The following is a 13468-nucleotide window of genomic DNA, read 5'->3' on the forward strand; positions in this document are numbered from 1 at the left end:
GGAGGTTTGAGGAGAAGAAAGTGTTGGCTGCAAATTCCTGTGTTAAAGTCCTGATCCCTGGACCTCAGACTGTAACTCTGTTTGGAGACAGGGCCTTTAAAGTGGTGAGTGAGTTTAGGGTGGGCCCTCTGGTGAGCGAGGTTAGGGTGGGCCCTCTGGTGAGCGAGGTTAGGGTGGGCCCTCCGGTGAGCGAGGTTAGGGTGGGCCCTCCGGTGAGCGAGGTTAGGGTGAGCCCTCTGGTGAGTGAGGTTAGGGTGGGCCCTCGTCCAGTGTCACTGGTGCCTTCTAAGGAGAGGAGATTCAGACCCAGACACACAGGGCGATGGCCCTGTGGGGACACCGGGAGGAGACGGTATCCACAAGCCCAGGAGAGAGGCTTGGGGAAGAACCAGCTCTGCTGCCACCGTGACCTTGGGCTTCAGTCTGCAGGACCCCCACAGCAATATTCCTGCCCCCAGCTCCCTCCCCGCCCTGCTGTGTCCCACCCTGGGGTCAGCAGCGGGCCAGGCCAGAGAGTCTGTGCGATGTGCTCTGAGAAGCTGCAGGAAGCAGTGCCTGGGAGACCCGACGGAAGTCCTGGGCCAAGCCAAGCAGAGGGGACCTCACTGCCACGATCGCCCGCTGCACCCAGCACAGTATCCCCGGGCGTTTGGGAGAGACGCTGGCCGGCACAGCCTATGTCCTGGATCCCGTCACTTGCCCTGTGCTGTTCCTGGACTGTCTGACCTAGAGAAGGGCCGTGTGTGAGCACATCCAGGCAGAGCAAGTGCGCAGCTCAGAAAACCAGTGCTGGCTCCAGCAGGTCTGGGTCAGACAGTGCCCCCTTCCCCCATGAGCCTTGTAGCTTGGGGACACCTCTGACCTTAGGCCACGCCTCTGTACTGTGCCTACACCACGTGTGGCTCCATGCTCCGCACAGTGAGGCTGCCACGTGGCCCTGAGGTTGCTTCTGCTGTTCGTGGTTGCCCTGGGTGTCTCCTGCCTGGACCCTGGCCTAGGAGTGGGCATCAACCAGGCAGAGCAAAGTCCAGCTGTACCACCAGGGCCCATGTGCGCCTACCTGGGGCCCGGCTCACAGACCAGCACGTGGTTCTGGCCTGAAAATCCGTCTTAGCAAGTCCTGGCGCCAACTGGGGCCTCCGAGCCTGGGCCCTGCCGGATCCTGGCTTTGTCCAGAAGAGGGTTTTGCCACTGTCAGGGGACCTTGGCGTGCCATATGCTCCGGCCCCTGGAAGTCAAGGCTCAGGTCGTGGAGTTAGGTTGAGCTTGGGGATTTTCCAGGTCAGAGAACCTGGGGCAGGTGGGGCTCTACTCACCCACCCAGCTCTGGCTTCCAAGGGGAAGCTCAGAGAGGAGTTTCCTGATCACGCCCTTTGAGCTCCATAGAGCCGGGTGTGACACTGGCTAGGATATGCGGACCCCTGTGACTTGATACTTGTTTGTTTACTCACATACTCACTTCTTTATGGCCTGCATCTCCATTAAGCTGGGGGTCCCACGGGGGCAGGCTGATGCCTGGGGACATGGCAGCGTCAAGGGTGTGTGGCATCCAGGCGCCCAGGGGCTGGGCAGCCCTGCCCAGGATCTAAGCCTGCGCATGGCACCAGGAGTCAGCTTTTTGTTGTCAATGTCTCTGGCAGCAAATCACCCCCATCCTTTGCCCAAAGGGTCAAGTGGGGCTTGACCAGAACCCCACCTCCAAGAGTGGGCACGCACTCAGGTCCAGCCCAGCCTCCCAGACCTCAGTGAGGGGCGGAAGGTGGTCACACAGCTTGAACTTGGCCCATCAGAGTCCACCTGGGGTGTTCCTCACCTTCCTTGTGAGAGGTGATGCTGCTGCTCTTTCAAGTTATTAAGAAGTCCTGGGTGCTTTGCCGCCCAGCCATGCTCACTCAAAATGTGGCGAGTGAGACCGTGCCCACCCATGGTCCGGGCCCTGGATCCTGCGGAGCCGGAAGCCAGCTGTATCCCTGGATGTCCCGTTTGGCTGTGCGGTGACTTTTCTGTGTGAGCTGCTCTGAGCTGTGTTCTGCAACTGCAACTGGAAGAGTCCCATACGGTGCAAGCATGGGGTCGGGGTCAATGGTTTGGTCTGCGGGCAACACCCTTGGAGAGGCTTTGGAGGACAGAGCCTGTGAGTGCAGGAGGTCCGTGAGTGCAGGGGGCCCATGAGTGTGGGGGGCCCGTGAGTGTGGGGGGCCCATGAGTGCGGGGGCCCATGAGTGCGGGGGACTCGTGAGTGCAGGAGGCCTGTGAGTGCAGGGGGCCCGTGAGTGCAGGGGTCCCGTGAGTGTGGGGGGCCCGTGAGTGCGAGGGGGCCTTGAGTGCGGGGGACCTGTGAGTGCAGGGGGCCCGTGAGTGCAGGAGGCCCATGAGTGAAGGGGGCCCATGAGTTCAGGGTGCCTGTGAGTGCAGGAGGCACGTGAGTGCAGGGACCTCCCCAGGGCTACAGCAGGATGGGGCACACTGGGGGTTTGTGACGTCCATCACCCGGCCTCCCTGTGTTGGGACCTCAGCAAGTGGCACAAGGCAGAGGCCAAGAAACTGCCCATGACACCTTCCTGGCTCCACCAGCTCTGCCCCAAGGGCTGGCCGTGTCCAGGACACAGCTCTGGCCCTGAGCCCTGCCTCTCCTGCGTGTGTCAGGCCCTGCCCCTTCAGCTGAGTGGCCTCCACTGCCTGCCCCCAACCAGCTAGCTGAGTGGGAGGATGAGGGTCATGGGGAGGCTCAGGGGCCTCCGGGAGCAGAGCATAGCTTGGCTCGATGCACCTGCCCGGCTTGGCCTCAGGTGGCTTCCGCAGGGAGGAGAAGCCATGAGATGCGGCCCATTGATCCATGCAGGCTTTGTGAGCCGCGGCTCAGCAGGGGCGACCATTGTCCGGGGAGCAAGGCTGTGCCCCTCACTAGGAAACAGGGGTGCAGGAGCATCAGCCCAGGTCAGGGATGGACAGCCCCCAGGCTACCCAAGCCCTGTGTTGGGCCCCGTTAATCCTTCAAGGGGCCTCAGAAAACCCTTGGGGTGGGGGTGTCCTCCCTGGGTCCCAGGGACCCTGGCCCAAGGGGCACTCTCTCGGTGAGTTGAGTCGGTGACGTATTCAGTAGGCCACATCGCTGTCTCCTCCTGAGAGTTCTGGACCTGGGGTACTCTGGCGCCCACCCACCTGGGGGTCAGTGTTCTAGGCAGTGGCAGTATTTGGCAGCTGCAGGGGCCGTGCCTACCTGGAGCCTCTGACGTGGGTCTCCAAGCATCTTGTCTGGAGGCCTGAGGGGTGGTGGGGTGCAGTGGGCCAGGGTCCCCATGGCAGTTCTGAGCCCCCAGGGCCAGGCCCGCCAAGCCACTCTTGCTGAGCCACCCTGGTGTGTCCTGGGTCCCCCTTGCTCCCTGTGGCCAGTGTAGATGGGAGGTGCAGAGGGTGCTGCCCGCGAGGTTCCTGAGTCTTTCTCTGTGCACAGATGAGAGGCAGGTGAGCTCCTGGGCCGAGGTGTCATCCAGAGGTCTGGGCGTTGCCCCTTGGAGACACTTGCACGGGGGTCTGGGCGCCAGGACGCTGGAGGCGTGGGATGATGGCGATTCGTCTCCCATCTTCAAGGCCAACACAGATAGGCGGTCCACTGTCCCAGTGGGACCTGACGTGGCCCAGAGTGGACGGTGGCCCCTACCCAGGCGCGCGCGTGGCCCCAGATCCCGCGCTGAGTCCCTGCACCGCGGCCGCCGCGGCGCTGCTGTCCCCGAGAGGCAGCCCTGTCTCTGCTGGCCCGTTAACTGTGCTGGCAGAGCTGTTACCGTGACAGTAGATTAATATCTCTTTAGTCAGCCAAAATGAACATGGCATGCTGGTGACAGTCCAATTTTCTGCTAACAGATTGTGGCCTATCGAAACCCGGCGCTCAGCTGATTTTTATTTCTGCCAGAGATAATTCAGCGCGGGAGGAGCGGCCGCCACCATCCCATCCACCAGCGCCGTTCAATATATCCCGCGCCGGCGTTTCTCACCCACTGTCAGGAGGCTGCCCGAGGGACTCCGAGGGCCTGCGGCATTTAGAGGCTGTCTCAGAGCCCAGAGGCACGGCTGCTGCTGCGATCAATGCTGAGCCTGGACTTGCCTGTTTCCAGGCTTGGGGGCTGCGGGGGAGCTCAGGGTCTGAGAGGAGGAAGGGGGAGGGTGGGGCGGGCTGGTGGGCACACGAGCACAGGTGTGTGTGTGTGTGTGTGCGCGCAGGATGCGTGTGTGTTTTGGAGTGTGTGGGTGTATGTAGGGTGCCCGTGACTGTGTGTGTGTAAGCACGTGGCTGTGTGCATGTATGTGTGAGTGTGAGTGACCTTGTGGGTGCACACGTATGGGGACTGAGAGCCTGTGTGGGGGCACAGGCTTTGCATGCCTCTCAGGCCTCCTCTCCTGGCTGCAGGAAGTCACCTATTTCCCATTTTCTCTGCAGGATGTGGAGAGCAGCCCTTACCTGGCCTGCTCCCGGAGAAGTGTCAGGGGATCCATGACCCAGGGGCGTGGGAGGTGGAGCTCCCTCCCACCTCATTGGGTGGGAGGTCAGGTGGCTCTTGGGCGAGGCAGGCAGAACCCAGACAGAGTAGGCCTCAGCTTTAAGGATGGTGATCCTGGGGAGTCCAGCTGCTCCGGGCAGCTCTTCCGAGAGGCAGCTGGTACACCCCAAGTGGAGGAAGCTCTCTTAGTTTAATTAATTAATTAATTTTAGAGAAAGGGTTTCTTTCTGCCACCCAGGCTGGAGTGCAGTGGTGCAATCATGGGCCATTGCAGTCTCAAACGCCAGGGCTCAGACAATCCTCCCGCCTTGGCCTCCCAAAGTGCTGGGACGGCAGGTGTGAGTCACTGCACCCATCCATCCAGGACTCTTTTCTAATGCGACTGATGTGGCCCCACCAGCTGCTTTTTCCCAGGGTTGTTGGGGGCCTATGCAACCACCTGCAGCCCTCCCTAGGGGACCATCCCAGAAGCTGCACCGCAGCCCAGCTTGGCTCAGGACCGGATTCCTGGGTCATTAGCGGACTATAACCCCCATCCCCAGCAGCCAGAGCCTCCCCGCAGGTTGATCTTCCCGGGTGTTTGAGTCTGAATGCTGTGCTTCCCCTTCAGGCTGGGGAGGGGAGGGAAGGGGTCCCCAGGGCAGGGAGCCAGGCCTGACTCATAGAGGGCCTAGCGAGCGGGGCTGGCCAACTTCCCCTTCGGATCCCTGTCACCATCACCAAGTCCTTCTGTAAGAAAGATTGTGCGAGAGACTGTCATTAGAGGTCACGCTTCTGGAAGGTTCTTGCTCTCAGCGAGCTCAGTCAGGAAGATGCTGGTGCCAGCATCCGACATGGCTGCTGGGGATGGGAGGAAGTGCCCACTGCCTCAGCATCAGCATTAGCATCCCTGCTTGGGTCACTGCATCCCAGTGGCCCCAGCCCAGGCCTCAGAACCCACCCCGGCCTGTTGTGACTTGTTCAGCCTCCTGCCTGCCCCGGGTGAAGCCACGCTGGCCCTGCCCTCCTGGTGCCAGCTTCGTCCCATTCATTCAGGGGCTCAGACGGGGATCGCCATCCCTGTTCCCCCGTCACTCTGCTTCCCTGCTGGATCTCCTCATGGTTGAACCCACCTGGGAAGAGGAGGGCGAGGCCACCCCACCGCATGTGGTTCCCAGGCTGCCTTGTGTGTCTGCTCTGCACGCTTCTCCCGAGTGCTGCCTGTGCTGAGGTCTCCACAGGGGGGCGGCCTGAGTGTGGTCACAGCCCAGCAGGGACACAACGCAGAAAAAATGACCCTCGGCAATGTCCCGTTCAGGGTGGCGCTTGTGCTGTTGCCACCCTGCTCGTGTCCAGGCAGACATCACTAAACTGCTCCATCAAACCCCAGACCTGGGCTGGCATCTCCTGTGTCCCCACCATGTCTTGGTCCAGCGACATCAGCACCCGCACCAAGGGGACACCACCGCCTTCCTCCCACCACCCCTGGAGGCATGAACTCTCACCCCAGAGGAGACAGCACCTTGCCCAGGGCACTCAGCGGCACATGTGGTCGTGTGCCCAGCTCAGTCCTCGAGGTCTTGCCCACCCTTCATAGGACCTGACCAATTGCCCTGGGGCAGGCACCACGTTGCCCATCAAAGAAAGCAGTGCTGCCTTTGATTAGTGATGTCTGCCAGCCCCCAGCCCCTGGTTTTAGGACCAGCTCTCAGGGACCAACCTTCCAGCCTCCTGGGATCCCTGCACTGCTCAGAAAGGTGCTTGGCAGACTCCACCCTCAGGAACATGGGTGCTGGAGCTGCAAGGTCCCAGGGGGCCCAGAGGGGACCCGTGGAGTCAGTGATTCTAGGGGACATTTAATGCAGGGCTGCTGGCAAACCTGAAGGCAGGGAGGACTTGGTAGCCCCCTGGCCTTGGGGGTGAGGATGGGTAGAAGGCGAGGGGGTCTGGGTAGCCATCAGCAGAGCTGGGTCTTCCAGTGGAGCTTGGCCACCCCCACCAGGGAATGGGTGTGCTTCCCTCCTCACTGCCACCTACACAGGATCCCACTGGATGAGGCCAGAGGACACAGGTGTTACTGGCCACTGTGCACCAGATGGGGCAGAAAGGGACCCCTGGCCAGGTGGGCTCCCAGTGCCCACGCCCCGATCTCTGATAATGGACGGTGATTTAGCCTTTCTGTGCCCAAGGCGTCTCCATCTGCCCCTGGCAGGGCTTTCCTGGGCAAGCTGGCGGGGGAGGTGCAGGCTGTCCTGGAGCCCTGCATGTGCTCTCCCCGGGGAGCATCTTCCATGGAGGGCCGGGCTTGCTGTCTGCTCCGGGAGCATTGGGGCCCTTTTCCTTCAGGGCCTGCTGAGCCCCCTGTCCTGCTCCTGGTCCCAGGACCTCCACCTGTTGGGCCTACCTGGGAAACTTCCTGTGTCCATTCCTGTGTCACAGGGTCTCTCCCTGAGGGGCCCCGCTGGCTGGACAGCAGGGGATTCTGACTCCTTTCTATGTGGATTTGTGCAAACGACAGTGACGATGATGGTGATGGGGGGCCAGGCTCAGAGCAGGATGAGGGAGGCTGGGCCAGACTCAGAGCAGGATGGGGGAAGCTGGGCCAGTGACTCCCGATGTTGTTGGCAGAAGCTACATGGACCCAGGGGCGTTGGATCCTGCACATGCATTTGCCTGCCCCAGCCCTTTGTACACAGTGGCCTGGCTTGCAGGAGCTTCCAGAGAGCTCTAGAGGGAGGCAGAAAGCTGTTTCTCCAGAAAGGCCTCCTGAGAAAGATCCAGGCACAGGCCCCAGGTCCTTATCCCCACCAGGAAGGACCCATGGCTGGCTTAGCTCCGGGGGGAGGGAATGGCCAGCCCCTGAGCCCTGCAGGGGTGGGTGAGGGTGTGGGAGTCTGCCCCGCGGCAGATCCACGAAGGGATGGATGTCCATAGGGCTGAAGCCGTGGCTCAAACATGAGATAAATTTGTCCCCACTTAGATTGACTTTGTTGCCCAAACGCCTGAATTGCCAACTTGAACCCTGAGGGCAGGACATAAACCCCACCCTGTGCATTTCTGCTGAGTCTGTCTTAAGAGTCCAAGGAGGGGCAGTGGGGGAGGACAGAGCCTTTTCGAGTTCCTGGCTTGACAGTGCAGGAACTGTGCCAGGGTGCCGGAAGGTGATCACCTCCCACGCCAGGTACATGAAATTTACTTGGCCCCAAACCCTCTGGCCTGAGGGGCCTGTAGGACAACCCGAGCTTGGGCTGCCACTGCCTGAAGCTCTCCGCAACTCTGGAAACCTTCCGGTGTGGGGCCACCCCCTCCCACCATGCTGACAATTCCTGAGGGACAAAAGCTGCAGAAGGCTAGGCCAGTGCACGTGTCCACACGTGCACACATACACACTCCTACAACACACACACGTGTCCACACATGCACACATACACACTCCCACAGCACGCATGCACACATGTACACACACGCAGACATACACTCTTGCAGAGCACACACATGCACACATGTACACACATGCACATATACATGCTGCACACCACACACATACATGTACAAGCCCATGCAGCACATACATGCACACACATGCACACACATGCATAAATGTATGCATATGCACACACTCACAACACACACATGCACACATGTCCACACATGAACATATACACACTCCCACGGCGCACACACACACACACGTCCACACATGCACATACACACCTGCACAGCGCACAGCACACGTATACACCCACACAGCAATACATGCACACATGAATGCACTCACAAAGCACAGACATACACACATGTGCACACATGCACACACCCATGCTTGCACTGTACACACATGCACACACAACATACAATGCACACATGCCACACATGCACACACACAAATTCACACATACTTGTACAGCACACCTACACATATACACAAACACAACACACACAGCACTCATGTACACACGTGTGTACATAAAACAATGAACATATGTGCACAATGCACACACTGCACACACATACACATGCACACACATGCACTCATACTTGCAGTCTACACACATGCATATGTACACATGCACACATACACTATGCACACACAAACATACATGCACATCTGCACACAGCACATACATTAACACAATCATGTGCACACCCACATGTTTGCCCACATGTGCACATGTACAGCCGGTGCCCATGTGTGCACATATCCACATGTACACATGCATGTGTTTGCACATGAAAATACACATGGACACATATGCACATGGACACACCCACGCAGATGTATGTCCATACACCCACCTACATGTGTACCCACACATGACGTACATGTACACACACTCCTGATGACCTCTCCCAGGACCCAGGGCCCAAGGCCCCTCCAGCCTTCAGACACATTCTGTGTCCTGGGACCGGGATTCTCAATGGCCGGCATCCGGGGTTCTAGCTGGCAAAGGGCACTCCCAGCTGTGCCAGCCACAGTGTGTGCACAGGTGTGAGAAATTGTAGCTGTGTGCACACACGTGAGCATGGCCTGTGACCAGGGGCCACCCCAGCATGCCTGTGTGCCTGCTTCTGCATGTACACATGGCTGTGTCCTCAGGCACCCGTGTCTGCACATGCTCACATATGTCTTTGTCTGTGCTTTTGCTCAGGTGCTGGAACGTGGGGCCGAGGCGGGGCAGCTTGTGGGGGCCCCTGGGCCTGTGTCTGCTCCACTACCACCGTCAGAGCTCTTCTGAGTCGCCGTGGGGATTTTGTGGTGCCTCCTCCTCTGGGCTCTGATCCGGCTGCCCCAGAACCCAAGCTCAGAGGCCTCGTCCCCAGGCGGGTCCTGACCTCGGCAGGCCAGCCTCGCGTTCCCTCAGCCCCATCACACCGGCTGACAGGCTGGCATTTCCCTCCCGCCTGGCGTTTCCCCCCGCCGGTCATGTCGACAAGCACCATGGGTTTCCTGACAGACGGAAATATCAATCCTTAGGTACAGGGACAAAGCAGGTTTTAAACTTTAATGAGAGGCTTTAATGGAAATAAAACGTAAAATTCCTCTTCAAATGGAGGTGCTTCTGTTTTATCAGAGAAAAAGTACCCTAAATAATAAATCGACGTCGTGTGTCGTGGTTCTCGTACCTGCGTGAATATTTAAAACATGCAAACATGTGGGAGATGCATTTGCTGGGAACAAAAGGAACACACATATTTAACCCCTGAAATAAATAAATAAGGCGAAGGTGCGCAGCTGGAGACAGGGCATGGAGACAGGGAAGGCAGAGGCCATGCATATTTAACGTGGCGGCTCCACGAGGCTGCGTGTGAGCGGACGTGTGGGCAAACCACCCTGAAGCATCGTGGCGAGGCGGGCAGGGGTGCAGGGTCCCGGCAGGGCAGCCCAGGTGCCCTCTGCCTTACTGTCGGCTGCTTATTTACTGTCTGAAGATTTTAAAAGCCCCAACCACGCTCCTGTCCTGCCTCTCTGTTCCATCACTGCTCATTTCAGGAGCACCTGGACGCCCATTGTTTATTTAGCGCTACTGTGCGTCTTCAGGGCAAGGCATTCATACACGGGTGCCGGAACAAAGTTCCATGAACCAGGCGGCTGAGAGTCATGGGGATTCCTTCTCCCCCAGTCTGGAGGATGAGGTTTGAAATCCAGTGTCCACGGGTGCTCTGGGAGGGTCCTCCTTGCCCCTTCCAGCTTCTGCAGGCTCTGGCTTTCCTTGACTCCCGGCCACAGGGCCCCACGCTCTGCATCCTGTCGCACAGCTGTCTTCTCCCTGTGTGTCACAACCTCATGTTAACGTGACGACATCTGCAAAGATCCTATTTCTGAATAAGGCCCGTTCACAGGTCCTCAGAGTTAGGACCTCAACGTATCTTTTTGGGGTTACAATTCAATCTACAACAATGAACCAAAAGCAGCCTGGGGTCCTCTGAAGGGTGGGGAGCCTGGGCCAAGCAGGACAAAGTGACTACCCAGGGACCTTTAGCTGGCCTGAGGGGCTTCCCGGAGAGCCGAGCCGGCAGGCAGGAGAGTGCCCTGAACCTGGGACCCCTTCCTCCAGCCCCCAGCCTCATGTCAGCGGTGGTGGGAGGGGTCTTAACGCATCTTTTCTATCTCTTTCCACTCTTGGAAACCTGGATCTCAGAGTCCAGGGAGAGAAGTCATGAGATTTTATGAGATGTGGGGAAACAATTTTTAGAACTCGCCATGCGTTTCGGCACCTTTGTTATTTTCGTAAAGTGTGGAGATATGGTCTCCTTGCGTTTGGCTCTCCCTATTCCTGGCATCTGGTGATCTCTTTGCTCTCCAAGGCAGGCGGACGGAACATGTTTCTGTTCTGAGGACCTTGTCCTCTGTGACATTTGGGGGCAGGCGGGGGGCGAGAAGGGGGAGCGTGAGCTGAGCCGGTTGATGGCGAGGCCTGCGCTGTGCTCTCATGCCTTCCCCGCTGGTGGCCCTGGGGAGTCACGAGCCTCTGATCTCCTTTTCTCATCTGAAAGTGGGTGTCACGCGGCCCCCACCCCACCGGCCTCCACGTGCTGTTAAGGGCAGTGAGCACACCCGTGCGCAAGTCCTTGGCAAACAGAAGCCATTTTCTGGAATTAATGAGGCCTGTGCCAGGTCCTCTGCAGGGGTTTTCTAGTAACTTTCTAGAAAGGCTTAAGAAGGACATGGTCTTTTCCAAGGCCTCCAAGTTGTCCAACCTGCCTTATTTTGTTGCTGCTGTTCTGTTTTGTTTTGTTTCAGGCTTTTAGAAGCCTGAGGCCATGGTTTTTGGTCTATGTTGCTAGTGATAAGTGGAAAAGAGGGATGAGGAGAGGGCTTCCCTGGCCCAGCCAGAAACAGGAACTGAGAGCTCCTGGCCGTGTTATCCCCCCTCGGGGGGAACCTCTGTAGACCTCTGTGCTGCTGAGAGGAGCATCGTCTCCACCGCCCAACAGGCTATTTCTGCGCGAATGCTGTCTTCTTCATCTTGCTTGATTGTCACAGTGCCTGCGTGAGACCCCAATGGTCCCCCCATCACGCAGGCGGGGCAGCCTCAGAGAGGCAGAACCAGCGGGAGAGCCGGCTTCCCTGCAGCTGGGCAGGCCCGTGGCCAGGGACAGCCCTTGCTGTCTCCGGGGTCACCTGGTGCCTGTTTCCCTGCACCGTCTCCTCTGCTTCATTGCCCGGAACCATGGAAATCCAGGGCTGCTTTTAACACGGGTTCCTGAGCTCACCTCCTCGGAGCTTTCACACAGGAGCTGCTCAATTATTCACTGCCTCACGGCCCTGGGATGAGAGGCAGTGGACCAGGGCCCGGTCAGGAGAGGGCTTTCTGATGCTGGCTTATTAATTTTTAAACTCTGCCACTTTGGTGGCCAGCCCCGAGTTCTGCCCCTTTGAAGCCACCAGGTAGGTGATGACAAAGTGAGTTTGGTTTTTGAGTCTTTGTTTGTGACCGAGGATGGTTCAGGAGCGTCCTTGGACAGCAGGAGTCAGGCTCCTGGGTCAGCCAGAGTGGGGATCCATCCAGGCCGGGCGGACAGGGCAGGGAGTGTCCTGCCGGGATGATCACGTGTGTGCCCTGTCCCCTGGAGGCCAGGCGGGAACAGGCAGAGTAAGGAGTTGTCAGTTCACAGCTGGGGAAACTGAGTCAAGCCCAGACAGAGTTCTCTCCTCCAAGTGGCTTTCTTTAAAAAGTCCCCTGGGTGTCCGGGAGGGAGGTCTTTGCAGCGGCCCGTCCTGTCCCTGGAGGTCCCTCCCCAGCACCCTTGACCACAGGCCTGACCCTCCCTCAGGCAGGGAGGCTGCTGTTGTGAGGCCTTTCTACAGCACCGTGAAGTCCCGTGCGCAGACGGAGGCCAAAGCCCTCGGGACGGCGGCGGCACCAGGCCCAGACCATTCTCATTACGGCCAGCTGGACCCCTGCGAGCCGTGCGAAATCAGAACAGTAACAACATCATTTATTTCAGCAGCACTGGGGAGAAACAGCTTTACAACGGTGTTTTACGTGCTACATGTGCACCATAAATATTTCCATAAAAACATGCATTAAAATATAAAAGTGGGCTTCAAAATATCAAAAGTCAGGGAGGGGAACCCACAGTGAAGGCCACGTTATGGCCGGGCTCAGCCCAGCAGCTGCGGTGGGGGCTTCCCTGTGGGTGGGGGGCGCGGGAGCAGCACCTCTCCCCTCCGCTCACTGCAGATGGGGGCAGGGAGAGCCGCTGGGGGGCACAGGACCCCTGCCCACCCAGCCTGGGCTCTTCCGAGAGGCTGTGTTCAGTGGCGAGGCTGTGCCCAGCCCCATGCCCACCCGTGGGGAACCGTGCTCAGGACCTGGGGAGGAGGACCCTGAGCTCCCAGAGCCCACTGGCTGAGGTCCTGTCAGGCTCATGGGGCTTCCAGCGGCAGCTCCCCCAGTCCAGTCATCTCCAGCCAAGCCCTAATATCGTGGAGCGCCCATGTGGCAGGGCTCAGGGGTCCCCCAGGCCCCGTTTGTTTACTCAGGCTCCTGCCTCAGAGCCTGGGGTCCTCACATGAGACAGGACAGTGAGGGACAAGGATGCCTTTGCCCCAGTGTCCTGTGTCCCCGCCAGGCCCCGCTCCCAGTGCTCCACACACCTGAACTAACAGGCCTGCATGGGAGGCAGGCACAGAGACGTCAAGCCGCTTGCCCAGGTCACACAGCCAGGAAATGAGGCAGTGGAGATTTGAACCTGGGCTGCTGGCTCCAGAGCCCTAAGGTCCCTGAGGTCCCTATTTTTGTCAAATGGCCCCCAGGCCCCCAACTCTCACTCCACCGGGCCCCGCTGGCCTCTCTGACCTCCCCTAAGGCTCCTGGAGCAGACCCGAGACATGCTGCCACCCCTGAGTGTGGCTGGTCGTCTCGGCCTGGGCTCGGGACTTTGGTAGTTGCATCTGGCTGCTCTGCAGGCTCCGGCAACGGAAACCTGCAGCTCCAGCCCCCACTGCCGCCCCGCTGCTCGCCCCTTATTCAGCTCCACGCAGG

The 13468-nt window shown here is 59.1% G+C and overlaps 1 annotated feature.

The window, feature by feature from the left end:
* Window positions 293-1492: an enhancer, noted in NCBI's record as "CDK7 strongly-dependent group 2 enhancer chr1:2824551-2825750 (GRCh37/hg19 assembly coordinates)". NCBI's record gives its function as "activates an origin of replication core promoter dependent on BRD2, BRD4, P300/CBP, MED14 and CDK7 cofactors, with strong dependence on CDK7, by STARR-seq in HCT116 cells {active_cell/tissue: HCT116}" and the evidence as "EXISTENCE:reporter gene assay evidence [ECO:0000049][PMID:35650434]".

Source organism: Homo sapiens, chromosome 1, assembly GCF_000001405.40.
Source record: "Homo sapiens chromosome 1, GRCh38.p14 Primary Assembly".
Lineage (NCBI taxonomy): Eukaryota > Metazoa > Chordata > Mammalia > Primates > Hominidae > Homo > Homo sapiens.